The 26,520-nt window shown below is 49.4% G+C and overlaps 3 protein-coding genes and 1 long non-coding RNA gene across 14 annotated transcripts in view, besides 9 other annotated features; 1 reads left to right on the forward strand and 3 right to left on the reverse strand.

Moving 5' to 3' along the window:
- Nucleotides 240-5,021, reverse strand: VSIG2 (V-set and immunoglobulin domain containing 2). 4 transcript variants are annotated; one of them, NM_014312.5, is made up of 7 exons: nt 4,843-5,021; nt 4,189-4,346; nt 3,480-3,687; nt 2,474-2,632; nt 1,410-1,529; nt 1,156-1,300; nt 240-433 (listed from the first exon to the last, which is right to left on the reverse strand). In NM_014312.5, exons 1-7 carry the CDS (start codon nt 4,901-4,903, stop codon nt 301-303), a joined length of 984 nt encoding a protein of 327 aa, NP_055127.2. In that variant the 5' UTR covers nt 4,904-5,021; the 3' UTR covers nt 240-300. The 4 variants fall into 4 exon arrangements, with proteins under 4 accessions (NP_055127.2, XP_047282641.1, NP_001316849.1 ...); NM_001329920.2 differs by lacking the exon at nt 240-433 and having other exon boundaries at nt 872-1,300; XM_047426685.1 differs by lacking the exons at nt 3,480-3,687; nt 4,189-4,346.
- Nucleotides 4,219-4,780: an enhancer, noted in NCBI's record as "H3K27ac-H3K4me1 hESC enhancer chr11:124621349-124621910 (GRCh37/hg19 assembly coordinates)". NCBI's record gives its function as "activates a minimal SCP1, AML or CMV promoter by ChIP-STARR-seq in primed H9 embryonic stem cells {active_cell/tissue: H9 hESC(primed)}" and the evidence as "EXISTENCE:reporter gene assay evidence [ECO:0000049][PMID:30033119]".
- Nucleotides 5,022-5,891: 870 nt separating the features above from the next.
- On the reverse strand, nt 5,892-15,056 carry ESAM (endothelial cell adhesion molecule). Its single transcript, NM_138961.3, has 7 exons — nt 14,851-15,056; nt 11,115-11,293; nt 9,307-9,508; nt 8,973-9,128; nt 7,407-7,529; nt 6,980-7,106; nt 5,892-6,727 (listed from the first exon to the last, which is right to left on the reverse strand). Exons 1-7 carry the CDS (start codon nt 14,918-14,920, stop codon nt 6,412-6,414), a joined length of 1,173 nt encoding a protein of 390 aa, NP_620411.2. The 5' UTR covers nt 14,921-15,056; the 3' UTR covers nt 5,892-6,411.
- Nucleotides 7,139-7,433: an enhancer, noted in NCBI's record as "tiled region #10895; HepG2 Activating DNase matched - State 8:EnhW". NCBI's record gives its function as "activates a minimal TATA promoter and a strong SV40 promoter by Sharpr-MPRA in HepG2 cells {active_cell/tissue: HepG2}" and the evidence as "EXISTENCE:reporter gene assay evidence [ECO:0000049][PMID:27701403]".
- Nucleotides 10,994-11,153: an enhancer, noted in NCBI's record as "active region_5690". NCBI's record gives its function as "activates an Ori minimal core promoter by ATAC-STARR-seq in GM12878 lymphoblastoid cells {active_cell/tissue: GM12878}" and the evidence as "EXISTENCE:reporter gene assay evidence [ECO:0000049][PMID:35858748]".
- Nucleotides 11,900-18,691, forward strand: ESAM-AS1 (ESAM antisense RNA 1). 2 transcript variants are annotated; one of them, NR_120577.1, is made up of 2 exons: nt 11,900-12,179; nt 17,495-18,691. It is a non-coding gene; the product is annotated as an ESAM antisense RNA 1 (long non-coding RNA). The 2 variants fall into 2 exon arrangements; NR_120579.1 differs by lacking the exon at nt 11,900-12,179 and adding an exon at nt 15,197-15,241.
- Nucleotides 12,647-12,716: an enhancer, noted in NCBI's record as "active region_5691". NCBI's record gives its function as "activates an Ori minimal core promoter by ATAC-STARR-seq in GM12878 lymphoblastoid cells {active_cell/tissue: GM12878}" and the evidence as "EXISTENCE:reporter gene assay evidence [ECO:0000049][PMID:35858748]".
- Nucleotides 14,611-15,114: an enhancer, noted in NCBI's record as "H3K4me1 hESC enhancer chr11:124631741-124632244 (GRCh37/hg19 assembly coordinates)". NCBI's record gives its function as "activates a minimal SCP1, AML or CMV promoter by ChIP-STARR-seq in primed H9 embryonic stem cells {active_cell/tissue: H9 hESC(primed)}" and the evidence as "EXISTENCE:reporter gene assay evidence [ECO:0000049][PMID:30033119]".
- Nucleotides 14,611-15,254: a biological region, named in NCBI's record as "H3K4me1 hESC enhancer GRCh37_chr11:124631741-124632244".
- Nucleotides 14,845-15,254: a silencer, noted in NCBI's record as "silent region_4028". NCBI's record gives its function as "represses an Ori minimal core promoter by ATAC-STARR-seq in GM12878 lymphoblastoid cells {active_cell/tissue: GM12878}" and the evidence as "EXISTENCE:reporter gene assay evidence [ECO:0000049][PMID:35858748]".
- Nucleotides 15,795-15,844: a silencer, noted in NCBI's record as "silent region_4029". NCBI's record gives its function as "represses an Ori minimal core promoter by ATAC-STARR-seq in GM12878 lymphoblastoid cells {active_cell/tissue: GM12878}" and the evidence as "EXISTENCE:reporter gene assay evidence [ECO:0000049][PMID:35858748]".
- Nucleotides 18,959-19,253: a silencer, noted in NCBI's record as "tiled region #2909; K562 Repressive non-DNase unmatched - State 23:Low". NCBI's record gives its function as "represses a minimal TATA promoter and a strong SV40 promoter by Sharpr-MPRA in K562 cells {active_cell/tissue: K562}" and the evidence as "EXISTENCE:reporter gene assay evidence [ECO:0000049][PMID:27701403]".
- MSANTD2 (Myb/SANT DNA binding domain containing 2) overlaps nt 19,264-26,520 on the reverse strand; it is a 33,909-nt gene continuing 26,652 nt past the window's right edge. For all 7 annotated transcript variants that reach the window (NM_001312919.2, NM_024631.4, NM_001312921.2 and 4 more), the window contains 2 exons: nt 25,760-25,820; nt 19,264-20,794 (listed from right to left, as the gene is read on the reverse strand). In NM_001312919.2, coding sequence (NP_001299848.1) covers nt 25,791-25,820 — 30 coding nt within the window. In that variant the 3' untranslated portion in view covers nt 19,264-20,794; nt 25,760-25,790. The remainder of the gene's footprint in view (nt 20,795-25,759; nt 25,821-26,520) is intronic.

The following is a 26,520-nucleotide window of genomic DNA, read 5'->3' on the forward strand; positions in this document are numbered from 1 at the left end:
GGTGCACAAGGCCTCCGCTTGCAACTTGAACAAGCCTCCTTGGGCCAAACCAGAAACCAACAATCGGGGGCTGGTGGGGTGAAGTGGAGGGGCACCTAGGTTGAAACCCACCCCTTTGACCCGACCAAACTTCCTGCCTACCTTTTCTCGGACTTCAAGCCCATTCCTTCTCTTACTGTTAATACTCTGAGCCGCCTAGAGGAATTCGCCATACCAGCAGAAAGAAGAAGGAGACAGTATGGTACCCACAGACTTTAATTATTGATATTCCCCCTCACCGCCCTCAGGGATCGGGAGAAGTCACACGACCATAGGGAGCTTGGACTTGGTGGTCGTCACGGTGCTGGCAGACGAGGGTCTTTCCAGGAACCCCTTGCTAGAATCAGCCCTCATACAAGTGTGCTCAGAGATCCCAGGAGCGATGGCATCCTCCCTGATGGGTATAGGCAAGTTCTGAGTGAACAGTAGAAGCCTCCTGCGGAGGAGGGCCGTCCTCTAACCTGGGGACTCTTAAATTTCACTGTGCTTGAGAATAATCTGCGGAACTTTGGTTAAAATGAAATTTCTGGGCCTCATCACTCCCCAACGCACAACTACAGGAAGGCTAGAAGTGGCCTGAATCTGAATGTATAACTAGTTCCCGGTGATTTCTGTCCAGGTAATCTGAGGACTCCACCTGGAGAAATGTTGCTCTGATCCCTATCCTAGACCCTGACTGGCAGCTAAAGTGGATGACAGAGGCAGTTTCCCCTCCCCTTTCCTGATTTCCTCCACAGAAGAATTGAACTCAGCTGACTGCTCAGGACAAATCCATTTCCTGGCATCTACAAGCCACTACTACTCCCAGGTGGTTAAAATATATGAAAATACCTTCGGAACAGAAAAGTAAACTTTATTAAATATGAGGAGGGGCAGGGCAGTCCTGCAAACAGCTTCCCTGCCACAGCTTGTGGACCAGCCACTCCACCCTGTACCGCTTGCCTGTACCCTCAAATACACAGGTTACACTGCTGCCACCAGCAAATTCCACGGCTGAACAACACCTCCTGCCCCTAAACACACTGAATGATGTCGGAGTTTGAGGGTTGCAGGCACCCGCTTTTAACTCAAGCCCTTTCCTCCCTCCTTGCGCCACCCCCCAGCCCTCCTGCTCACCGAAGGTCACTACCCCCATATGTCTCCTTGGGCTTCTTCCCCCTCTCTTTCTGGAACCTGACCAGGCAGAACGCAGCAACTGACAGCAACAGCACGCCCAGGAGCACCCCAATCAGAGCTCCGGCCACTCGGCCTTGGGAGGGTTCTAAGGAGATACAGGACCCTCACTCAGAATTGCAGGCTTTCCTCGGCCCACCAGCCGACAGCTTCCCCAACACAAGGCTGCTGGCCTGGCCTCCACCCAGCATCCCTACCGGTCACAGAGAGGGTCAGCTCACAGGATGCACTGCCCATCTGGTTGGTGGCCACACAGCGGTAGGTGCCCGAGGAGGTCAGGGAGAGGTTGGTGAGAATGAGCTGGCCAGACACCTCATCTAGAGGATGAAGAGGAAGTGTTCCACGACTCATTCAACTCAGTGAGCAGCTCTACGAGGACAGCACATTTCATGTCATCCTTATAACAATCCTGTCAGGGAGCAACTAATTTTTTTTCACTGGGGAGGAAACCGGTTCAGAAGAAGGAAGTAGTGTGTCTGAGGTGACCCAGAGAGGAATTCCAAAGCTGCTACAACTTACCTGTTCTTTCCACCCTACATAGCTGCCTTTTTGGGAGGAGGAGGACTGCACACTCATGAAGGATTCAGAAACTGGCAATGGAGTCGGGGTGGGGTGCTTACTGGCTGATGTCAGGTTCCTGGTTTGGGGTAAAAGGCTTGATTGCTAGAAACTGCATCCTGTAGGGTGGCTCTAAGCTGACACAAATGCTTTTCTAAACTGTTTACCTTTGCCTTAGAAGGCAGAGCACATACCAGGAAGGTGATCTGGGGGTGGGTCATTCATTTCTGGATTGATAAAGGAGTTTGCTGGGGCTGGAGAGAGAACTGGATCCAGGAAGAGGAAGCCAAGAAACTAAGGCTCCTCCAAAGAAACTGGTTAAAAGATTCCAGCCAGTCCATGCTACTCTGCCTCAGTTTCCTCTCTAGGAAGTTTGGAAGTGGTCCACGACCCTTAGGAAACCTAAAAGAAATCTCCCCAAGGCAGATGGGTGGTCATCATCAGATTGCTCCCTGCCCTCTACTCTCTTCCAGGATATCAGCAGTATATTCAGCTTGAGAAATACCCCCAGGATCATGCAGCCACAGACTGCAGAAAGACAGGCAGGAGGGAACAATACAGGAAGCCAAGGAAGAGACAGGGAAAGGTATAGTGGTTTGTGTCATACCCCTAGTCATGGAACGGATAATACGGGTGTGTGGGATTTAGAGACCAGATTTGCCCAGGTCTCCAGTACCCTCTTCCTGATGCCCTGGGCCCTTACCTTGAACCATGCTGCCAGGAGAAGGTGTAGGAAAAGTTCCAAGACGCACCCAGTTGTACACTGGCTTAGGAGCCCCCTCGGAAGAGCTGCATCTCAGTGCAGTAGAGCCTCCCACAGAGGTTTGTCCACTCTGACTGCATAAGGGATTACTGGGGGGAACTGCAAAAAAAAAAAAAAAAAAAAAAAAACAGAAAGTTCCTCAGCAATCTTCCAGCCCCACTCCCAACTCCATTAGGTGCTACATTCTCTACTTCAATACCCCTATCAAACAGTGGTCCTCTTGGGTCCACACACCACTGCATCCCCAGGAACTGAGGGATTTCCACTATTGGAAATTCTGATTGTTAGAGAAAATTCTTCTTCATGTTGAGCCAAAATGTGTGTTAACATAACCTCCACCCATTGGTTTCAGTTCCTGCCCTTTGGGCCCACAAAGAGAAATTAAAATCTCTCCTCCACATGACAGCCCTTTGGATAGTTGAATCCAGCAGTAATACACCCATCCGAGGCCTTCTCTTTTCCATCTAAACACTGCCAGTCTCTGTGATAGTTTTTCTGGTTGCTCATCTCTGAAAAGGCTCTAGTTTGGGGTGAGACAGAAGCTCTGAGCACGAAGTTGGTGCTCAGTAATAGGGGCCCTTGTTCCTTTGGTGGCCACTCCCCTTCTCTGCCATTGACCTTGGGAGGGACAGAATCCAACTACCGATGAGAGCCTCCCCCATGATGGAGCTGCTGGGAGCAGGCTCAGATCCCCATGTATGGGAAGGACTTTCTCTCACACACTCTGTTATTAGGCTCTGATGGAGGAGATGCTCTCGGTGGAGGGTGGAGTTGGAGTATGACCATCTGAATTAGAAGACTTGGAAAGGGAGTATTTTCACTTGGGGCCCCCAGTGCAGTTGTGTGCTTGGGCTAAAAGTCAGAAACCAGAGATTTAGCAAGACCAGTGCAAACGCCCCAAGTATGTGAAAGAGTATGTGGCTCGTGGATCCCCAGTCTGCCTTACCCAGCACAGTAAGGTTGATTAGCCCCAACCCATTGGTGTAGAAATCTGGTGGGTTGTTGACTTGGCAGAGGTAGGTTCCAGTATCTGAGGGGTGGACGTCAGTCAGTTTCAGTGTGGCCACCCCCACTGTGGGGGGGTTCTGAAGCAGGCTGACCCGCTTTGACTTAGAACCAGTTGGATACAGATGGCCATTGGTGAAGTACAGGATCTGGGGAGAGGCAGAAGACACACATATGTGCCTGTTTCTGCCTGGCATCAACTCTACAGTCCTTCCTCATCAAAGTGGGTATAAGAGGCCTCTGACTTACATCAGCCAGGGAGGCTGATACCCTTAAGCTGGAACTCCAAAGGTCTCTCTGTCCCCAAACACCACCCCCTTTCAGGTGCTAAATGAACCTGATCCATTGGTCTCTCTCTCTCTCTCTCAAAGAGAGAGGCAGAAGAGGCAGCATATTATCTTGGTATCAGTCACAACACCTTAGTGTCAATGGATACACTAAGGCAGGGGAGTTGGAAATAGGAGCTATGGAAGAGGAAAGGAAGATACACGGTCAGGCAGACTGCAGCTCTGAAAAGATCTAGGGAGAGCCCACTTACCTTTTCATCCAAGCATACTGATCCCCAAACTCCCCCTCCCGACCCCATGCCCTCATCCTGGGCTCCTGTCCCTCCAGGCCAACCCAGCTTCATGCAGTCGCTCTCAGCTCACTGGATGGGACTCAGAGATGGGTTTCCCAGGCTGCACAAAGCTCCACTCCAGGGCGAAGCTGTCTCCCACCGACGTGCTGTAGGTGCAGGTCAGCTCGGCTGTCTTCCCCAGGGGCGTGCTCAGCGGCTCTGTGGGTACCTTCACCTCCACGGCCAGCCCTGGGGCCGGGGACCAGAGGGAGGTGGGAACCCAAATTCCAGTGATCTGGAGGGTCGGGCCCACCCCCGGGCATCTATATTGGAAGCTGGGGGCTCCCTCCCCAGAGCACAACCCTCTCCCCTCAATCCAACCCCTCCCTTCCCAAAACCTGAGGTTTCCGGGAGGGGCCGGGTCTTTGTGGGTAAAAGAGCCGGAACCGGGCCAGGTAAGAGGGTGTGTGTGTTTAGCAGAGAAAGGAAAACACTAGCCCTGCGGTGGGGTGGTTCAGGCCTGTGCCGCGGAGAGGCCCAACTCGCTCGCCGGCTTGGGGGTCTCTCTCCTACGCCCTCCGGGCCTTGGACACCCCCTCTCCGGCCTCACCTCAGGCGCCTTAGGGCCCCTGGCGCCCACGGCAGCCTCATCTGGCCTGGCGGGGACAGAGTGGGTCCGAGGAGCCGGGGAAGCCAGGCCTATGCCCCCCAGCCCTCGCCGTGGTCCCGCCCGGCCCCTCCTCACCACTCAGGCACAGGAAGCCTAGCAGGGCCCCGCAGAGAAAGGGCCCCGGGAGCTCGGCCATGGCCGCGTCCGGCCGTCCTGTCCTGCTCCTGCCAGGTGGGCGGTCAAGGTCGGTCTGGGTGTCGGGCAGGGAAGGGAGCACCCAAGGGCAGCCGCCCGGGCTGGGCAGGAGCGAGACTGGTATCTCAGAGCAAACAGGGGAGAGGCCGGCGCCGCAGGTTAAAAAAAAAAAAAAGTGCTCCTCCCTCCTCTCCTCCAGCCCCGATTCTGCAATCCCTCTGTCCCTTCTTCCTCCTTCCTTCCTCTTCTCCCCAAGGTCTGAAGCTGTCCGGCCTTGGGAAAAGCGCTGGGCTTGGGGTGGGCCTTCTGCAGAGACGGAAGGAAAGCTGACTTTGGAAGGCGTCCTGATACCCCAGAGCTGGCAAGGGGAGTCCCCACCTCGGAGCCTCACTGTGAGTGTGAGCCCCAGGCCGCAGACCCTTCCTGTCCACAGCGCTTTTCATTTCACCACTTACTGAGGTAGGAGTCTCTGTAGAAATGAGCATCTCTCCATTTCCAGAGCCACTCCATTTTAGGGGCAGAGAAACTGAGACCTAAAGGAGACCTCACCCTTGGTAGGAAAGAACATGGCAGAACTTGGACACAGACCTGCACCTCATACTATGCCCAGCTCTCCCTCAGTAACAACAGAGATCTCTTCCAGATGGGCAAGGAGTGTTTTGTTAAGGATTCCGTGGTGTGGGAGAGGAGCCCACGTGAGCTTCCTCTCCCCTGTCCCTGAAGAGGAAGCAGATGAGGTACACGTACCCCCTAGCCGGGAGCACTCAAGCTCCAGCAGAAAGCGTATCAACTCCATCCCTCTGCTGTTCAGAGTAGCTTAGAGTCTCCTCCCCTTCTCCACGTGACAAACAAGGACCCTTCTAAACACTAGAAGAGCTGCTCTAAGCCTGTGGGGGGAAGCCCTCCTGGGTACACAGCTTGGGAAGGGGTCCACTTTGCATCCTCCTGAAGCTCAATTTCAAGAATTCTTAGTTTGAAAAGGCAACTTGTTTCTTATCTCATACAAACATTATGTATCTTTATTTAAATTTGCAAATGAAAACAACACATATTTCATGTTAGTTTTAATAAGAGATTCCCTATCCTCTGCCCCAGTAAAACCTAACCAAGCCAGCCTGACAGGTTATATCAATACAGGGAGCTGGAGTGGGAGCCAAGGGTGGTGTTAGATAGGGGTGGGGTACAGATCAAGGGGGCCTGGGAGACTCAGTGACTGGAAGTCTCTGCCCCTCACTCTTGGTGAGTAGCTAATTTCAGCAGCTGGCTTCATAAGGAGGAGTCAGGGGTGGGTGGAGGCTCCTCCCAATTCCAGATCCACTTCCTCTTCTCCTTCTGTCTCCTGGACACTTAGGTCTTACTGAGATGGTTTTCCCACAGTAAAGAGAGGTGGGGGCAGAGTACTAAGGGTCAGGAGTGTGACTCTTTCCCATGACTCAGGCCTCTGTGCTAGAGGTGACCCTTATAGGAAGGAGAGACCCCAAATCCTTTAGCCAATGAGTGGTGGGGTCATCATACCAGAGAGCCAGCTTGACTCTGGGCAGGCACCATCACAGGCACAGCACCCATGCGGCTCAAGCCAGAGGAAGAAACCCCACCAGGGATGGGGGATATTGGTTGAGGGTGGGCCCCATCTGTCGTGGGCAGTCTTGGTGAGGGCAGGGCCTGGCTGGAGAGACTGGGCGTGGGGGTCAATGCACCAGGCCTGGGAGGGCCATGGGGTGGCCGGAGGGCTCGTGCGGAGGTGACAGAGGAAAGGGTCCCATTCTTGGAGATTGTGTCTGAGCTCTTGGGCCAGGGCAGGGTCCGGGGAGCAATGGCATCCTCCCTAGTCATCAAAGAAATAACAAGAGGTCAGAAGTGGGTGGGGGAAGGAGGAGAGAGTTTCTACCTGCTTGGTCTTATATACCACCTCTGCCTGCACACTTCAGTACTCCTTTCCCTCTCCCTTAAAACCTGCCCATAGGAATGATGTTTCAGCCACTGACCCCATCCCAATAGATGAGAGCTGCCTGAATTCCCAGCCTCTGTGAGGAGAGCTGGGAGAGCCCCCGCTGCAGCAGACACCAGGGACACTTACTTGATATCATTGGCTGGCTCCTCCAGGGCCTTGCCCCGGCGGTGGTACAAGAGGACCAGCCCAGCCAGCAACCCCAGTCCAACCAGGGTACCCACAACAGCTCCAGCAACCACTGCAGCTCCAGGCCCTGGAAAAGGCGTCGTGTCAGAGGAGGACACCCAGCTGAGGGGTTCTCACCCCTCTCCAATCCCACTCTCCCCACCCCATCTGCCACCATACACATTCCCTCTTTTTCCCTGTCAAGAAGAGGGGTGGCTGTTGAGCAGGAAATGACCAGTCACTGACCAACCATTTGTACAAACATTTGATCAGGGGAAGCTCCGTGCCCTGCTACAGAGACAGGCCTCAGCAGACAGGCCTCCTCCCCACTTGCAACCCCTCCCCCACCATTGACCACTCTTCTTAACCACACTTACCCCTCACTGACCTGTGCTCACTTCCAGCGTCACATTACATTGGGCAGTGCCCACCTCATTGTGGGCCTTGCAGACATAGACTCCAGCCATGGAAGACGAAAGGTTGGTGAGGCTTAAAGACCCACGGATGACATCTGTGGACACAATTTAGCCATCAGTCCAGGGACCCTCTTTCCCATTAAAAAAAAAAAAAAATCTTGTCCCTCCTCTGGAATGTCCCCTTTGACCCTCTGGGAGTCACGGCTTGTCTATTCCCTGATGGGGGGAGAGGTGTGACAGCTGGGCTTGGCTCCCAGCTGCAGACTGACTAGTGCAATAACCTCCATTGTCACTCCTCAGTCAGTGCCCCCAGTGGATATCCGACAGGAGGCCACAGAGAAAGTGAAGCACAGAGAAACCAAAACACCATTTTACTTTTATTTCGGCAAGACAGTGTGATGAGAGAGAAAGAACACTGGGGTAGGAACTGGTAAACGTGGGTTCCAGAACAGGCCATGTGACTGACTTTAAGCAAGTTAGTTGATATCTGAGGGTCTCCATTTCTTCATCTGTAAAATGGGGACAATATGACCTCCCTGAGGGTGTTGAAAGGACTATATGGACTAATCATTATAACAGTGAATGTTTAGGGGGGAGGGATAGCATTAGGAGATATAGCTAATGCTAAATGAAGAGTTAATGGGTACAGCACACCAGCATGGCACATGTATACATATGTAACTAACCTGCACATTGTGCACATGTACCCTAAAACTTAAAGTATAATAATAATAAAATAAAAATAAATAAATAAATAAATAAAACAGTGAATGTTTATTGGCTGCTAACTCTGTGCCAAAGACTGCTCTAGATTCTTGATGTGTATGAACTTACCACAATTTCCCAACAAACCTGTGAGGTAATAAGTAGTATTTTTAAAAAGAAAAAGCTACTATTATAAAAATGGTCATGTGAAAAGTAGAAAGAGGCAAAATGAAAATCCATATTCCCACAACCTAGATCCAACAGTTGCTAACTTTTTGCCATATTTATTTGATTTCTTTCTTTTACTTAGATATTTTAAAGTAAATACATCAGCATAAATCTCCAAAAAAGCAGTACGTCGTTCCATATGACCACAATAGCATTGCCACGCCTAGGAAATTAATAACGTAACTATCTAAAATCATCGAATACTTCATATTAAAAATGTTTCAGTTATCCCTAAAATTTTTTTTTATAACTGGTGTGTTCAAGTCACACTAATGAGTTCAAGCTGATATGTGTAAAATCCGCATTTTACAAATTCAGGAAAGAAGGCACCGAGTCACACAGCTAGTCACTAGAAGAGCTGGAATTTGAACACAGACACTCCAGCTGTAGAGCCTGTTTCATAACAGTATACACATGTGAATGCACCTAACACAATACCTGCCCCTGGCAGGGCATCTTTCTCTGCCCCACATCCTCCCCACATCCTCCTCCTCCTCCCCAGTGCTTGTCAGCCTTGGCTCCCCTTTTCACCCCAGTCCCTGTGGTACCTCTCATCTTTCCCCTTCCCCAGCCACAGTGTCCACTGTTTCCAGTAGTGTCCTCACCTAATGCTGGTGCAAAGAAAGTCTGGAAGGATGGAAGCTGCCGATCCCACTGGTATTGGACAGCGGGCTTACTCCTTGGAGACTGGCAGCTCAGGGTCACGTTTGCCCCCACATGGGGCACACCCTGGAGACGGCAGGATGGAGGAGCTGGAGGAACTGGGCAGGGGGAGACAGATTAAAACCACACCCAGGAGACCCACAGATCCTCTCCCTCTGCCCTGCACCCTTCTGTCGCTTCATTTGTTCCTCCTCCAACTTTTGTCATTTAGGAGAGAGACTCACCAGACCTCCCAGTGCAGGTGGGGAGGGGTCCGGAAATCTGCTTCTCACTCACCCAGTACATTGAGTTCTAAGGTTTTGATGCTGTGGCCCCTAGATTTGCCTTGTTTGTCTTGCACATTCACGGAGCAGCTGTAGGGGCCAGAGTCTTTCTCCTGGAGACCCTCCAGCCGCAGGGACAGGTTCCGGGAGGGCATGGAGTAGACCAAGGATACTCCAGGTTTGCTTGTTGTGACCCCATTGATGTAGGACAACACCTGGTGTGGGGCATAACACATCCCCGTCATTACTACATGTGTCTACTGTGCCTACAGGCTCAGCCACTCTCCCTCCCCCAGCTCGCATTCTCCAAATGCCCCTCACATGCACCCATTCTTCTAACCTGAACCAGCTCCCCATTCACCTTTTGTCCCTAGCCCCCTCTCACTGCCCCTGGGTCCTCTTCACCAGAACAGTTCTTCGTTCCTGCGCATTGTCTCATCTCCCAATTGCGGTGTTTAGAAAGGTGACATAATAGTGGGAGGAGGGACATGTAAATAGGAGGTATGTATATATGCAACTCAGACTGCTGGGGTGGATCCAGGTTTGTAAGACCTGAAACTTACACAATGGGGAAGGCATCTTGGAGGAAAAAAATATTAAAAATGTATTTTAAAAGTATCAAATGAGGCTGGGCACGTTGCCTCATGCCTGTGAGCACTTTGGGAGGCTGAGGCAGGTGGATTGCTTGAGTCCAAGAGTTCAAGACCAGCCTGGGCAATACGGTGAAACACAGTCTCTACAAAAAATACAAAAATTAGCCTGGCATGGTGGCGTGTGCTTGTAGTCCCAGCTACTCAGGGGGCTGAGGTGGAAGGATTACTTGAGCAGGAGCGGTAGAGGCTGTAGTGAGCGAAGACTGCACCATTGCATTCCAGCCTGGGCAACAAGAGTAAGACCCCTGTCTCAAAAAAATCCAGCTGACTTCCTTGAACACAGTTTTCAGGGGTTCTGAACATTGTTTCATTCTCTTCTGGGGTAAATCTGTATTTGGATGTAAGCCCGGTGTCAAAACAGATGGGTGGGAGATTGTGGGAGGAGATGGCCCCTTGGCTCTCAAGGTGGTATACAGGGGGGCAAGGTGACAGATGAGAATCATTTGGGAAGAGAAGTGGCCTGTGACTTGACAGTATTCAAAGCAGAGAATGTGAAAACAGAAATATGCTAACTTTTTTTTTTTTTTTTTTTTTTGAGACAGAGTCTTACTCCGTCGCCCAGGCTGAAGTGCAGTGGCTGGATTTTGGCTCACTGCAACCTCCACCTTGTGGATTCAAGCAATTCTCTTGCCTCAGCCTCCCAAGTAGCTGGGATTACAGGCGGGTGCCACCATGTCCGACTAATTTTTGTGTTTTTAGCAGAGACGGGGGTTTCACCATATTGGCCAGGCTGCTCTCGAACTCTTGGCCTCAAGTGATGTGCCCACCTCGGCCTCCCAAAGTGCTGGGATTACAGGTATGAGTCACTGAGTCAGGCCAGAAATATGCTAACTTTTATAAGTCGTGTGTGTTACTTCCCCTAAGCGTTTCCCAGTCCTCAACTTCCATTCTTCCCCTCCTCCTCTCCTCCCTCATAACCAAGTAAAATGCCTCTCACACTTTTACAGTATTTTGTGTGCTGGATTTTTAGGGAAAGCCGGCAAAAGATAATTGTTTGGGAAGTCTCCAATATCAGAACAAAAACTGAACTGGTGAAGACTTCTGCTTTTCCCTGAAACTCCTTCCCCGGCCCCCATTCCCTCTCCACCCCTCCCACCGCTACCAGCTCTTTGCTTACAACCCCCTCTGGGCGCAACTTGCCGCTGGCTGACAGGCGTTCTTCCCTCACCTGATCCTCCTTTTCTTTCTGTTTGAAGAACCACATCACAAAGGGCACCTCCCATGGCTGGGATGAAGACACCTCCCCGTGCAAGGTGTACCACGCTGGAAGCACCACTTCCCCTCCCTCCACCGCCTGCAACCGGTTGGCGGGCAAGTGCAGTTGCAGCTGGGCCCGCGAGGGGGGCGCTGGAGACAAGAGCGAGGCGTGAGTGCCCAGGACCGGCTCCCAGCTCCGCCCGCGGACCCTGCCCTACGCGGCTTCACCAGAGAGCGAGGAAAGTCGCTTTAACTGGAAAGAGGAACCTTGCGGGGTCCGGCCCCTGGAGGCCTCAAGGGGTGCCCAGGGACCACTGGCTCAGTGTCCTGCTTCCCATTTCATCACGACTTCTCTCCACCGCCAGCCTCTGCAGTTGTAGCGGGGATGGGGACACATTTATATGCATTTATTCGTATCCAGAGGCGCAGATTTCTGAGCATCAAAGAGAGGGGGCAGATTTCCAGCGAGGAGGGGAAGATATGAGAAGAAAGGGTGGACCGACTGTTTCTGTCGTACGCGCCACGTAGCCCACTTGCTTCCCTAGTTTTCCTGAGGGAGAGTAGGGATGCTGCTCCGGGCCGCCAGGGTCCCTCACTCCCGAGTTCTCAAAGGGCGGAGGGGTTTGGGAGGCCGTCTGGTTACCTATTAACCCTGCGGCTCCTTCTGAGCTTGCCAGGAGCTGGAGAGAGCAGAGCAGCCCAGCGCCCAAGCCTGACCCAGTGAATGCGATGCTCCCCGCCCTCCCGCGCAATCTCAGAGGCGGGCTTCCCTCGGAAAACGGAGGGTTGAAACCCAGAAAGCTCCTCGGAGCCCTTCTGGGGTTCGGGCGATCTGGGCAGAGAACTCTCGGGTGGCAAGGAATTAAGGGCAGCGCGAACGACGGTCTCTAGACAAGTATGAAGCCTCCCCTGAGTGTGTCCGGCGCTCAGGGGGTGGACCGGGGTGTTGGTTTCAAGGAGGGGGCCATCGTTTGCACCACGGCGTCCAGAAATACTCATCCTTTGCCCTTCGGGGAGGCAACAGAGCAGCCAACTGGTAAGCCCTTTGGGGAATAACCTTGGGCTTGCACACGGCCAGGCCTGAGGATGATCGCCGCTCCAGTCCCGGGCCCTACTCCCTCCAGGCCTCGGCCCTCTGCCTCGGAGCGGAAGACGCCACCTCCGCGTGGCGAGCAGGCGGCCAACGCCGCGGGAAGAGGCCGCAGCCAGGCCCCGCTCTCCACCCTCGCCCTAGGAGAGCCAGGCTGAAGGCCTCTAAGGGCTGGGAGCCGATCCGGCCAGGATGCAAGCCTCCCCCACCGCTTCCCGGCTGCGCCGTACAGAACCCCCACCTCTGTTACTTGGCCTTCGCAGCATCCCCCTTCCCATTTCCTGGAGGATCTCTGTGGTCTGGGCAGGAAATTTGTACCCAGTGATAAGGCAGAAGACAATGAAGGGGGGGCCACTAGACCGGAGGCTCTACGGGAGGAAACAATCCCCGCCTCAAGGAGCTGGACGCCCCCTGGGGACCCGGCCCGCTGGCCATTCCGCTGAGGCCGGGCACGCCTGGAGCCTGCAGGTGCTGCCGGCTCTCCCCCAGCCTTTCTACGACACACACCCGGCGGCCAGAAAGGGTTTCCGCCGGGAAACTGCCTGGGGCCCAGAAGGGGCGCGCCCTTCCTTCACCTTGTGGACCACCAGCGACCTCCCCAGGTCCCACATTTATAATTCCACTTTCCAGAAGGTAGAGGAGAGTTAAAAGAGATAGTAACGGACACACTGGGGTCTGGGCACATGCTCCTTGCCCTTCGCCCTGTCAGAAACTAGGAACAGAAGAGGGCCTGAGGCTTTTCTGCTCTCCCTCCTGGGTGTCTGCTGGCTCGGAAGTCACCAACTGGTCCGTTTTTTTCGGTCCCAGGGTCCACGGAGCCACTGGGAGAGAAAAGGAGTCTGGTTGGGTCTGATCGAAGGACACTGGGACAGCCCAAGAAAGGGACCCTTCCGGCCCACAGCCCTCTCCGAGGCCAGAGTGAGGGAGCCGGCAGGGGCCGAAGGAGAGCGAAATGGGCCCGCTCCCCGGGGCTATTTTTAGTCTCCCTCTTTCTCTGAGAAACTCCCCCCGCGGGCTTCTCACGCCCCAGGGGCAGCAGCACTGAGCCGCCGAGGAGCCTACTGAGCCGGAGAGCCTCCTCCAGAGCCCAGAAGAGCGGAGCCGGGCGCCTGCACGTTGCACCGGGGTCACCAGTGCCATTTAACCCTCGAGTGGCTGGCGGGAACTGGGCAACCCCCCAGGGGGACCGATTGGAACTTTTGAGTCCAGGTCTTCAGTCTGACAAACTGAGGCTCAAAGCTGGGGTAGGACAAAGGGTTGCAGATGAGCAGCAGGTGAAGCCTGGGACACTCAGGCAGTCAACTTGAACTGTCCTCCCTGGCTTCAGAGATTCCCCCAGCCCCCACCCCCCACAAGGAAGGGGGATAGAGTTGGGGTGGAATGCAGAAGGAACAGAGCTGAAGTTGAAGTTGGGAAAGGCGGGATGAGAAGTCTGAGGGATCCTGGAGCAGGCCCACCAAGCCCAGAGGGACAGAAGGCTACTTGTGGCCTTGGTGTGGCCTGGGGGGCTGTACTTGAGACTCATTTTGTCCAAGGACTATAATATTGCATGCCCCGACACCTGTGGGGCACAGAACATGCTAAAGGGGACACTGGTGATCCTCATCTCTGTCCCCATCATTGTAGAATTTCACTCTACAGCTTCCCAGGCCTTACTTGTCCTGACATCCTCCAACCTGAGAAATGAGTTAAAGTCAATATAGCTAAACCCACCCTTCACTCCCATTCGAGATCCTTGAAGGGAGATGGCAAGAAAGCTGAGGGACAGCAAGTGAAATAGTTTAAAAGGGCCTAGTCCTGCCGGGTCCTCTCCCAGATGGAGTTCTGAGCCACCCCAGCTTCAGCTGAAGCCAGCGCCCCTGGAGGCCTACAACACTTCCCAAACACTTGCTCCAAGGAGGTTCCCTTCCTCTCTGACCCTTGGCCACCCTCCTCCCAATTTCCCCTCTTCCCTTTGGCTCTGGAAACCAATAAGGGTGGTGGGCCTTGGGGGGGTGGGGTGGTCACAATTCTGTTTCTCTGTGCGTTTGAACCCCTCCCCCATTTCCTGTGTCCCAAATGACCTCACGGTCGTCCTTTTGGGGCACCTCCCTTGATTCCCAGGGCAGGAAGCAGGAGGGGGCAAGAGAGAGCATCTGCGCTGGGGAATTGACACGAAGTGCGTGTGTCAAGCCTGGGGACCAGGGGTATTTCCCCGGGGGATCTTCCTCATCAGCTTGTATGTGGGGTCGGGGATGAGAGGGGGCTAGAGTTAAGTCCTTAAGCTCTTTAGCCAGTGTCTCATCTAGCGGCTCAGCTCATCCGGCTCTGCTGGGTGGGGGGTGGGGAGTGGACAGGGTGAGGAATGGTTCCGATAACTCACCCCAGAGGTATCCAGGTCTTCCGAGAGATGCCCTTACCTCCCCCCGCCATCCGCCCCCACACCCAAACTGGGGGCTGTCCCCGACAAAGCGAGAAGTCAGCGCCAGCCAGTGATGCCCTGGAGTGGGATTAGGAGGTCAGGGGAGGAGGGCGAGTCGTGGGACCCAGTTCCGCAGCAGTGGCCAAAGTTCTCCCTCAGGGTCGAACTCACCCCATCCCGCATCCCAAGTCCCCTCCAGGTCCGGGTTTCACTCACCGAGGGCACTCAGCCCCAGGAACAAAAACCGCAGCAAGTTGGTCACCAGGGGCCCCGGGAGGGAAATCATGGCCCTCCCTGGCCGGGACGGAGTCAGGGGCGCCAGCCGCGGGACGCACGGACCTGCAGGTGCCGAGGCTGCGCGACGGCCGGAGCGTGCGCGGGAGCCGAGCCGCTGACACCCAGGGCGGCTCCAGCCCAAGTCTGCGCGCCTGTGTGCCGGTGGCGGGGTGGGGACCGACGGCGACAGCGGGGCGGGGCATTCGAGGGGGCGGAGAGGTCGCCGTCCTCCCGGGCGGGGCGCGCGGGGTCCGCCGCCCGGGGGCGCCCCCAGCGCGCGGACGGCGGGACCCTGCGGCCTCCTCCAGGTCTGGACGCAGGGAGGGGTGAGGTAAGCTCTGATGCCCCACGAGCCAGCCAGGTACGAGTAGAGGGGGAAGAGGAGGCTCCAGAACTATCCTGAGCCGTAACCTTCCCTTCCGCCGGGGTGGGATAGGAAGGGTGACCAGGAAGGGTGGGAAATTTGGGGACTATCCGAAGTCAGAACCACCCGTAACACCTGACATGTAAACGCTCCTGGGCTCTGGCTCCAAACTTGGGGGTGCCGCATCCCCGGCCCAATCAGGGCGGTCTTCCTGAAGGAGGAAGAGGGGAGCAGCGTTTTCCAGCTGCAGGGAGAGGCCGGAGCGCCGGCCGCGCGGGCTCCCTGGCACAGCGGGAATCTGTGGCTTTCCTGGAGGCGGGGGCTGCGCGGCCACCGGAGCGCGGCAGCGAGGGCGACGGCAGAGGTCGCGCGGGAGCCCAGGGCGCCCCGGGACGCGCCAGCGGGGAATCTTCACCCGCGGGCAGGAAAAAGCGCTCCGCGAGTTCAGCAGACCCCAGCCCAGGCTGGAGGATTACCCCGGCCTGTGCCTCATACTCCGAGCAGGGAAGGTTGGCACAAGGTAGTCCCGGGAGCTGAGCAGGAAACTGAGGCAACGTGCGTGCTGCTCCCAGCTTAGCCCCTGAAATGAGCGGCGTACGGGCCTGATGCTGACTGGGGAGGAGGGGCGGCTGCGGGAAGGAAGACAGGACAGTCCCTCCGTTTCTTCTTTATCCCCCAAATCTTCAGTGCCTCCCATCCCCGCAGCGAAAGGCTCAGGCGCGCTCTGATCCTTTAATTCCCGAGACTAGATCTTGGTCGCTGTGAATTGAATTTTACGCCCCCCTTCCCGCGCCATTCGGTCAAAAGGCACCTCTGCGCCCTCTGGCGGCCGCCGCTCCCTTACAGAAAGGCACGCACCTGTTCTTGCTTTTCTGTCCAACAGCCAAAAAAAAAAAAAAAAAAAAAAAAAAAAAATGCTTCAAACATCCCAGCACAGCTCAACCACCCAGCAAAGGTCAGTGAGGGAAGAAAGCATAACAACGAATTCCTGACGCTGCCCGCTCTGCGGGCAGAGCTGTCTGGGAAGAAAAGCAGCCAGGCCTGCGGGATTCCATTTACTGCACATAGTTTTGCTGTTTTAACAGAGTGTAGTCCCTGGGCCCACACTTCACACAAGATCTTTTTCTATACAGTGCCCCATATGCCCTCTCAGCTGCTTCTTTCTAGTGTGACCTGCCTGGCTCCTCTTCAAATACCTGCCATGCAGTGGCTTTGAGAAATGCCTATGCAAACACAAAACTGCTCATGCAAACCCTAGAATCTAGTACTTGGCAGCTCAGTGGAGGCACAGACAACAGGAAGAGATACCTGCCAGTCTCACACTCTTGTGTAGGGAGCTACAAACTTGGACTTGGCCAAGCAGATTGTGTGGTGGGGTTGGGGGCTGTTGGTTTGGTTTTCCTATTCCATCACACTCAAATTTTTCTTGGCTTTAGTCTGCATTGCAAACCATCTCTTGTAAACACCCCTCCTTTGTTTCCAGACAAGTCACCCCAAATAAGTAACTCCTTCCAAGAGAGGAAGTACAAAGTCTTTTGGTTCTAACCCAGAAACACCAAGTATCTAATCACACAGGCTGTGCTTATCCTGATCAAGTGCTACATAAGGTGTAGCCTCAACATTCATTCCCTGTAGCTAACTTTTCCTTCAGAATTCAGATCCCAAATGACTTGTGACATGGGAAGTAAAGCTGCAACCAATGATTTGTAGTCAGTGAATGTCTCCATGTGACACAGGGGCAGTCTCTTCAAGATTCTTTGACCGTAAAGAATTGTCCTCACTGTCTCCTGTCTCCTATTTCAGCTATTTCTTTCTTCTGACCCTGAGGGCAGTCAAGTCGTAGAAGTTAGCAGAGCAGCTCCATTACTTTGTGAAAGTTTTCACCAAGATGCATTTTAGGGTGGACTGCTCTCCACCCTGGTGTAAATCATGAATGCTGACACAGATGATCTATGTGCGACCTGGGAACTGCTTACATAAACGTGTGCAAGAGCTAGTTCATAGTTTCATATGTTAGAGACTTGCAGGTCATTAGTGTTTCTTCCAATCACATCTCATGTTAGATTCCGAAAGTAATTCCTAATATTTACCTTTACATTTGAATATACTTTCTCTGTCCCCCTTGAATCAGTTATAAGGCTTCATTAAGGTCTAAATATTCCATTTCTTATTTTCGGCAGTGCTCATAGTTATCTGACATCCTGCTATCTTCTTTTCTAGACTGTTCTGGCCAAAGAGACTGGAGATCCAGTATCAGCAAGCTACTTTCTTGGTAAACCTCCATTTCCCAATGCTCATCTTTGTCCTCTACCCCCACCCATCCCAAGGCAAATGATGAAAACATCTATTGGATCCAGCCTTTGCTATCTTCTCCATGCTGCTCATAGTGGGTCTAGCAATGTCCCATTCTCGGTAATGTTTGGTAGGTCTAAAACATCCTCACGAAATGTTCCCCAAATGTTCTGCTCCAGCTGAGCAACTAATAACAATGGGAAGATGCAGAAAAAAAATGCATGGAGCATAATGTTAGTTTTGGGACTCGTCAGTGGCAACGTTTTAGAGATGCCATGAAGAATTCCTGGTAATAATCCTTCTTCCTACAGCATTTAGCAATGAATACTATGGGATTATGGCTAAAAGATGGTCAAGACTGCCTCAGCCATTAGGATCAGAATTCTAAGTTCCAAAGAAGAGCAAACTCAAGAGGATTTCCTCAGGCCTCTGACTATAGATGCTGCCTGGGGAGAACAGGTGCTACACTCAAAACATTCTCATTTTATTTATATCCTCCCTGAACTAGTACCCAACTCCATAACCCCAGACTCAAATAACAGAAATAAAAGCCATCTCACTGATTATAAGCTCTCTAGTTATTACAAAAATAAATAAGCATCAATCAACCAACAGGCATCAGAATGAGAAAATCACTGATTTGAGACATTCAGGCTGCAGGAAAAGAACACTTTTTGTTAATATGTAACTATATCTTCAGTAGTACAGAAAAATGAGAAGAACGAGAGTTCTTACCTGGATTTGCGGCTCACTTAAAGTAGAGCACCTGAGATGCTGGGAAATCATAAAGATAAATAACCAATCTAACAAATTCCTGCCATGAGACCAAAGTGATCCTTGACTACTCTATTAGTAAGCGACTCTGAGCCAAGAGTACGAACCTGTAAGTGGAGTGGTGGTTGGCCCATTAGAAATCTCTGAAAGATCTAAACATGACAGTTACCTTCCTACTGGACTCATACTTCTCAATTCCCTCTCCTAAAAGAATACTTTTGGGCTGGCCCCAGTGGCTCACACCTGTAATCTCGGCACTTTGGGAAGCCAAGGTGGGAGGATTGCTTGAGGACAAGAGTTTGAGACCAGCTCGGTGGAAACATAGCACCATCCATGTCTCTACCAAAAAAAGAAAAAAAAAAGTGAAAAACATTGCTGGCGTGGTGGCACTTGAGCCTGTAGTTTCAGCTGCTCAGGAAGCTTTGAGGCAGGAGGATTACTTGAGCCCAGGAGTTCGAGACTGCAGTGAGCTATGATTGTACTACTGCACTCCAGCCTGGGTGACAGAGCAAGACCCTGTCTTAAAAAAAAAAAAAAAAAAAAAATTTCTACTGGATCTTCCTTCCTTTTGAGAGATAGCAAGATTACATCAGTTTTCCAGTTGTACTCCTTGAGAGCTGCCCCTGAGTACTGAGTGTAAAAGATGAGGAATGAGTCTCTTACAAATTGATGTACTTAGGGTCAAAAGGATTATCCTAGTCATTTTTAGTCATTTTTCAAAGAATTACAAAATGAGATGTTCAGTGACCTTTGGTACTCTGACAGTAAATAATGACATTGGTCAGTGAGGTATAGAGAATGAAAGGATGTGAAGATACCCTGCTCTGTTTGTTCTCTTCATTCTTAGCAGTCAAGTCAGAGCGCAGCCCCCACTGCCAGTGCAGCCACACTCTGCTACAAAAAGCTCAACTAGTACGCCAAGGGGCCAGGAATTACTTTAATTTTTTTTTTTTAAAAAAAGGTTTAAATGGCAACACAACTGTAAAGTTGGTACATCACAGAAACAAAGGTCTTTGCAAGCAATACTGATTGGAAATAGCAAAACACTTGGCTGGTGAAAAAAATGAAAATCTAAATTATATACAATAGTAGCTAAGGGTGATATTGAAAAAGTCTTTTTAACTGTGAATCAAGATTTAACTTGCCATTATCTATTGCTTATTTATTCAGGGTTGTAAATATTACTTATATAGAGACATAGAGATGTGTAAAAATGAAACATTGTGAAAAAAATACAATTTTTCAATTTCATATGAAACTCAAAGTATAAGTTTTGTCCAATATGGAATGTACCTACATTTGTTTATATTAGGGCTCTAAAATCCATTTAAAAATTGTTTTTCTGTTTTTAAAAAAGAAATAGCTGACCCACCATGCAAGTTCGCTATATATCTTGCTTGCTCAAAATGAGCATTTTCAGGTGAGGTCTGTTTTTTCTGGCCCAAGTCTACTATGATTCCTTAGAAGTCGTACTGGCCCAATTGAAGAAAGGGTTTCCATGAAGAGTCTGACGGCGGCATCTGGATGAGGGGTGGTCCGGGTAATGGGAAGTGAGTAGAGAAGAAGGAGCTAAGAGCCCAAATCCTTATGAAGGATGACATTCAGTTGTTAAATTTTAAGGGGTATCCAATGGCTTTTTCCAGGCACTCAACTAAAGAGCCTGCGGAAAGAAAATCCCTCTCTACTTCTACAAATTTGATGTAGATGGATTTGGGGGAAACTCCGGGATCCACAATACAGTTCTGAGACAAAAACCCGTTAATACCAACCCAATCTTTGCTGAAGGTTTTGGTATTCGCTTGGAAATGTAAAAATAAGCACTGCTGTAGAGTCCTGACCTCAGCAATCCCGAGGTAGCAATAGATAATTCGGGTGGGTTCTATTTCCACCTGTAATGAGGCTTGTGCTGAAAGGGTTTCCAGGTCAACCCGGCCCTCTTTTCCTGGGTCCAGGGAACTTTGCTCCATGTGTGGTGAGAGGGGCCTCTCAATACATTCTTCATAGCCAATGGCATAAAGGCCTGGGCTTTTAGGAATACCCCCAGGCAATAAATATTGAACAACATTCCCACCAGTTGGTTTGGAGTGGGCAATGGGTATCCAGTCAATTTCCATGTGCAGCTCCAAGCACCTAGCTTCGCTAATAGTGATCTCTAAAAATTTGTAGTAAACATTTTTCCAGTTCATTTTCTGCACTCGGGTCATAATGATCCGTCCTTCAGGCTTCTCAGAGTTGAAGTACTCCCGAAGTCGCTTGCCAAGGGGCACCTGGGAGCTGATCTCAGCATAATGGTAACGGATATCCTCTTTCCAACGGGTGTTATAACCAATTCCAAAAATGGCCAGTTTATTAGAAAGATGGAGCCTTGAAAAGTCTGTCCAGCTCTGAAAAAGTTCCCATTTCAACTGTACCGATTCCAAAATCTGTACAATATTCTGCATGATGTCTCTCTTCCTGGAAAGACAAATAAAAGTCAAATTCCCTAAGTATCTAGAACAGCGGTGTCAGATAGAACTTTCTGTGATGATGGAAATGTTCTGTATCTGCTGCCCAATATGGTGGCCACTAGAACATGAAATGTGGCTGAGGTATTACATTTTTAATTATATTTAGTTTAAAATTACATTTAAATAGCCACATGTGACTAGCAGCTACTGTACTGGGCAGTGTAAGTCTAGACAATCAACCTATTAAAATGAAAAGAAACACACCCCTAGCAAGTTTCTAAGAATTAATGATAAACTGCTTTCCATGACTTCTACAGCCTCACTGTATAATCAGAATCAATACCTTAGACTCTAGGATTTCAGAAATCTATGGATCATAATATTTTAAAGTGGCTATTATGTCTATGATGGCCTTCAGACCTACCTACCTACCAAAATAAGGTGAAAAATGCTGTATTTAGAAAAGTATCTGGCGTCACTTAAAATAATTAACAGCTTAATTTCTAACCTGGAAATTCAGAAAGTCCAATAATGGGCTTTGTGTGTGCTGTGGGAAAATATACAACTGATTATGGCTAATGACCTTTTTAAAATGACATTTTCTATTTGTCTGAAATTCATTACTAATCCCAAAATTAATAGAAGTCAGGTTAGCACAGAATTAAGATCTGGGAATTCAGATGGAAAAGGCTCACATTAGGCTTAGATTTCAAGAGAGCAACATTCAAGATAATAAATTGAGACTGTTCTAGAAAACCCTTTATAAAGGGAAGCAAAAATATAGGAATTATTTCAATTTTGACTCATATACTTAACAGAAGAAGACAGAAAATGCTGGAATTTTTATTTCACGGGCTGCTTAAATCATGTAATTTGTATATATATGAAGCTATATAAAGTTTGCTTCTCAAGTACAGCAAAACTTTGATACTGGAAGATTGGTTCGTTAAATATTAACTTGGCAACAAACTACTACCCTCCACATCAATTACGGGTTTAACCTATAAAAACACTCAACTACCACACTTACATACAATCATACACAGGCAAGAAAGGGGGTGTGCGTGCTAACAGCTTCTTGAAAACGGGCTCTGGAAGGAGCTTGATCCTTGAGACTTTTCCTGCTACGTTCTCATACCTTCTAGGGGAGGAGCTTTGGGAACATTCTGGCGAGGCTTCACGTGGCCATTCTCAGTCTGTCCTCTCGCTCTCCTTGACTTTCTTTGCAAGATGGCAGAGAATTAATATTTTGTTATCAGCTGCTTCTTGGAGCTAAGACTGCCCTGAATTTACCCTCTATCCTTTAGTTTGTCTTGAAAGCTTTCAAGTATGAGAGTGGCTATCTAGATGAAATCACTACCTTCTCAGGGAATTATTCCTCTTCTCAGAGGAGACAAAAGCACTTGGTCAATTTTATGATGTCTGATTGTGGTGCTTATGAGGCTAAGACATAGACCATATTTCTGCATAGGTCGATGCTTTAAAGGAAAATTATCTTTCATAGCTACCATCTTTCCCTGCCCTCCTTTGAAATGTTTTATTGATCTTACAGAGGACTATGCTAAGGAGTTGGGATGGAGAGCAGAGATTTTTGTCTATTATGCTCAATGAAGTATCCCAATGCCTGACATATAGTAGGCACTTGAGAAACGTGTGTTGAATAAATGAGCAGACTAGGGGATTAGCCAGGTTCAGCTAATCCCACCTATACCTACAGAGAAAAAGAAATCCCATGCCCAAATCACGTTATTTTTTTCAGCATTGTCATGGCACTAATGCTATAGTCAGACCCTGCAAAGAACCATTTTAAATAAACTCTTGCACTGGAAAATAAATGGCCTACCCAGATCTTGTTCAGAATCTCTCACCCTGAGAGCTAAAACCTGGAGGAGAGGCAGCACAGGCTGGATATTTCCTCAGAGTCTGTCAGTTTCCTGCCCTGCTGATATGAGCCTGAAGCTGATTTGGGCTCAAGATTCAAACCAGCATTTCAAAGCTCTGGAGCACAATGAAAACTAGACTCAGTTATTTAAACAATTCCTGAGAACTGTCTGTTAGATTTCCTGGTTTTTGAAGTTCCAATCACCAGAAAAGTTTAAGTGGTTTGAGATTGGTGACATGAAATCCATAAAATTTGAGTTCATTCCTAGTTATACCAACTGGGCCTCCCTTGAAGGTCCTGAATGATTATAAGGAAGAGATAGGACACTTTAATGAAAAAGCCAGTGACTTTTTTGGAGAATAAAGGTTTGAAGGTATACATTTGTAATAACTCTTTTTTTTTGTTTGTTTGTTTTTTTTTTTTTGGAGACAGGATCTTGCTCTGTCACCCAGGCTGGAATGCATGACTCACTGGAGCTTTGACCTCCCAGACTCAAGTAACCCCCCACCTCAGCCTTCTGAGTAGCTGGGACTACAGGCATATGCCACTATACCCAGTGAATTTTAAAAATTTTTGTGGAGATGAGAGTCTAGCTATGTTGCCCAGACTGGTTTTTAATTCCTGGGCTCAAGCAATCCTCCCGCCTTGGCCGCCCAGGATGCTGGGATTACAGACATGAGCCACCGCGCTTTGCCTTGTAATAACTCACATTTTTTTTTCGAGACAGAGTCTTACTCTGTTATCCAGGCTGGAGTGCAGTGGCACCATCTCGGCTCACTGCAACCTTTGCCTTTTGGGTTCAAGCAATTCTTGTGCCTCAGCCTCCCGAGTAGCTGGGATTACAGGTGTGTGCCACCACGCCCAGCTAATTTTTTGGTTTTTTTTTTTTTTTTTGAGACAGAGTCTTGCACCTGCGTGTCCTGGGTTCAAGCAATTCTCTTGCCTCAGCCTCCCAAGTAGCTGGGATTACAGGCACCCGCTACCATCCCTGGCTAATTTTTTGTATTTTTAGTAGAGACAGGGTTTCACTATGTTGGCCAGGCTGGGCTTGAACTCCTGACCTCGTGATCTGCCTGCACTGGCATCCCAAAGTGCTGCAATTACCGGCATGAGCCACTGCACCCAGCCTAATTTTTGTATTTTTAGTAGAGACAGGGTTTCACCATGTTGGACAGGCTGCTCTCAAACTCCTGACCTCAAGCGATCCACCCACCTTGGCCTCCCAAAGTGCTGGGATTAAAGGCGTGAGCATGAGTCACCACGCCCAACTTACTTTTTACAACATTAATCAGTTTCCCTTCCTTTGGTACACTTTGATGTCACACTCCTAAAAGACAACTACTTCCCAATAAGAAATGGCCTTAAACTTACTGATGTGGGCGATTAGCTTCTTTTTTGAGGAATGAAATAATGGCTACAATTTGGGGGAAAAACTCCTCATCCCTGAACTCTCACCCTCTTTCCAGACATGGAATCAGATGACAATGGGAATTCTTTGATTCCAAAGAGAGACTCTGAAAAAGAAATGAGCATTTACAAAGGGGAGGTGGTAGTGGTGTCTTGCTGAATAAAAACAACTAATGTGGCCGGACACTGTGGCTCACGCCTGTAATCCCAACACTTTGGGAGGCCTAGACAGGTGGATTACTTGAGGTCAGGAGTTCGAGATCAACCTGGCCAACACGGCAAAACCCCATCTCTACTAAAAATACGAAAATTAGCCAGGCATGGTGACGCGCCTGTAGTCCCACCTACTCGGGCTGGAATTACAGGTGCTCACAGTGAGCCAAGATTGCACCACTGCGCTCCAGCCTGGGTGATGGAGTAAGACTCTGTCTCAAACAAACAAACAAAACAAAAAACAACTAATGTTTTCTTGTTGTGCTGCCTGTTACCTATCACAGCCCTTTTTGCCTCTTCTCTACCATCTCTCAGACATCAAGATCACATGTGTGGGATGAAGCACTCAAGAATAAGTGGGTGCTATCAATGCTCCAAGGTTAACAGGTAAAAAAAATGAATGGCGTTCCTTACTTTCCCCATAAATTTTCGGTCAGTATATTCTCCTCAGTAATTGTATTTAATCAGGGACTCACTTAAAGCTATTAAAAAGAACCACAAATATGATGTCACTGGTAATTCCAAGAACTATGATGTCCTTGCACAAAAGATAATGCTAAACTCGGGGAAGATCAAATTGTATGGACCAGGGAGGACTCTGTCCCTGGACTTTCTTAGTCTTTCCTCTAGCAACTGCTTTCTTCTCCAAATGTATAATAGGTCATCTAAGAGCTTTCTTTTTGATTCCCAAAATACTTCAGGTGTCCCTCTGGTCCGCCTATCATTTCACCTAACCTCAGATAAACTCAGGTTCCTGTGACTCATCTTTGTGCCTTAATTAAACATCCAGATGTCCACATCCACACACAGGCAAATACCAAAAACACATCTGTTTTCCTGTAACACATTTATTTCTTCTATACAAAATTCTCAACATTTTAGATAATCACTGGAAGGGTTAAGCTAAGATACGAAAGAACGTATAGACATCTGGCTGGGTGCGGTGGCTCGCGCCTGTAATCCCAGCACTTTGGGAGGCTGAGGTGGGCGGATCACCAGGTCAGGAGATCGAGATAATCCTGGCTAACACGATGAAACCCCATCTCTACTAAATGTACAAAAAATTAGCCGGGCGTGGTGGCGGGCGCCTGTAGTCCCAGCTACGCTGGAGGCTGAGGCAGGAGAATGGCGTGAACCTGGGAGGCAGAGCTTGCAGTGAGCAGAGATTGCACCACTGCACACCAGCCTGGGTGACAGAGCGAGAGCGAGATTCCGTCTCAAAAAAAAAAAAAAAAAAAAAAAAAAAAGAACGTATAGACATCACAGTTCCTGGAATTACCAGTGATGCTATGTTTGTGATGCTTTCTAATAGCTTTAAGTGAGTCCCTGATTAAATCTAAAGAATGAATAGACATGCCTCCTTGGTGAATGGCCGGAACTTTCATAATATGTCTAAATATTTTCTGATCTTCCCAATGGTCATTAAACTTAGGCAGACACACTTTCTGGAAAGGTGAAGCATCTACTTACTGTGCTTCTTCAGAAGACTCTTGTTTTATTTTTAATGTTCTCTTTGTGACAGGTATTTCATCTGAAAAGCAAAGATTTTGAAAAAAGTTATACTTTCCTAAGTGGTGGCATGCATGTATGTAGATAAGTAGCTATGTTTACTGATCATTCCATACTTTCCAAAACCAGGCTTTTATTCTAGTGTCAAACACTGTCCAATGTCAGATTTATAAATATAGCTCTTATATAATGAGATGCATACATTTATATGTAACATCAGAAACCAGCTCTACAAGTATAAAATTCTTCAAGGTCACCAGTGGATTTCTAGCTAGGAGCTTAAAGCTTAATTTCACTGCAGACATGATTTTAAAAGGACAAGAATAAAAATAATTCTGTTCCATTTAGATTTTCTATGTAGGTTTTACAAAGCAATTATTCCCCCAATGTCAGGATCAACATATTCTGCATATTGCTTTTTTCCCAAAGGTTTGAGTGACTTAACTCTCTACAGCAAAACCAGTGTTATGGAATGCCAAAGTAATTTAGACCTTATTACTCCTTTGAAATTAATCGGTAGTGATCGCTTACCATCTACCCCTTTTATTCTTCTAATCGTTAAGTCCATTTCTTATACGCTGTTAGTCTTATAGTTTTATAACCTCTTTCTTCTTTGACTGTCTTCCAATATTTGAAGAGTATTTTTAAAACAACATTGCTAAGAAACATATTAGCATTTAGTCCTTTTTCTTTGGAATTAACATTTTTCTATCATCAAGAAT

The sequence above is a fragment of the Homo sapiens genome, chromosome 11, assembly GCF_000001405.40.
Source record: "Homo sapiens chromosome 11, GRCh38.p14 Primary Assembly".
NCBI lineage: Eukaryota > Metazoa > Chordata > Mammalia > Primates > Hominidae > Homo > Homo sapiens.

Bases quoted from the DNA above. Each gene is read 5' to 3' on its own strand.
- ESAM (NM_138961.3), bottom strand. From the start codon at position 14,920: ATGATTTCCCTCCCGGGGCCCCTGGTGACCAACTTGCTGCGGTTTTTG. The intron at 9,509-11,114 runs GTGAGGGAAGAA...GCCCCACACCAG, and splicing joins AGAAAGAAAAGGAGGATCAG to GTGTTGTCCTACATCAATGG. The intron at 7,107-7,406 runs GTCAGTGAGGGG...CGCCTTTTCCAG, and splicing joins GACGCTGGAAGTGAGCACAG to GGCCTGGAGCTGCAGTGGTT.
- VSIG2 (NM_014312.5), bottom strand. From the start codon at position 4,903: ATGGCCGAGCTCCCGGGGCCCTTTCTCTGCGGGGCCCTGCTAGGCTTC. The intron at 2,633-3,479 runs GTAAGGCAGACT...TTTTTTTTGCAG, and splicing joins AATCAACCTTACTGTGCTGG to TTCCCCCCAGTAATCCCTTA. The intron at 434-1,155 runs GTGAGCAGGAGG...TATACCCATCAG, and splicing joins TATGGGGGTAGTGACCTTCG to GGAGGATGCCATCGCTCCTG.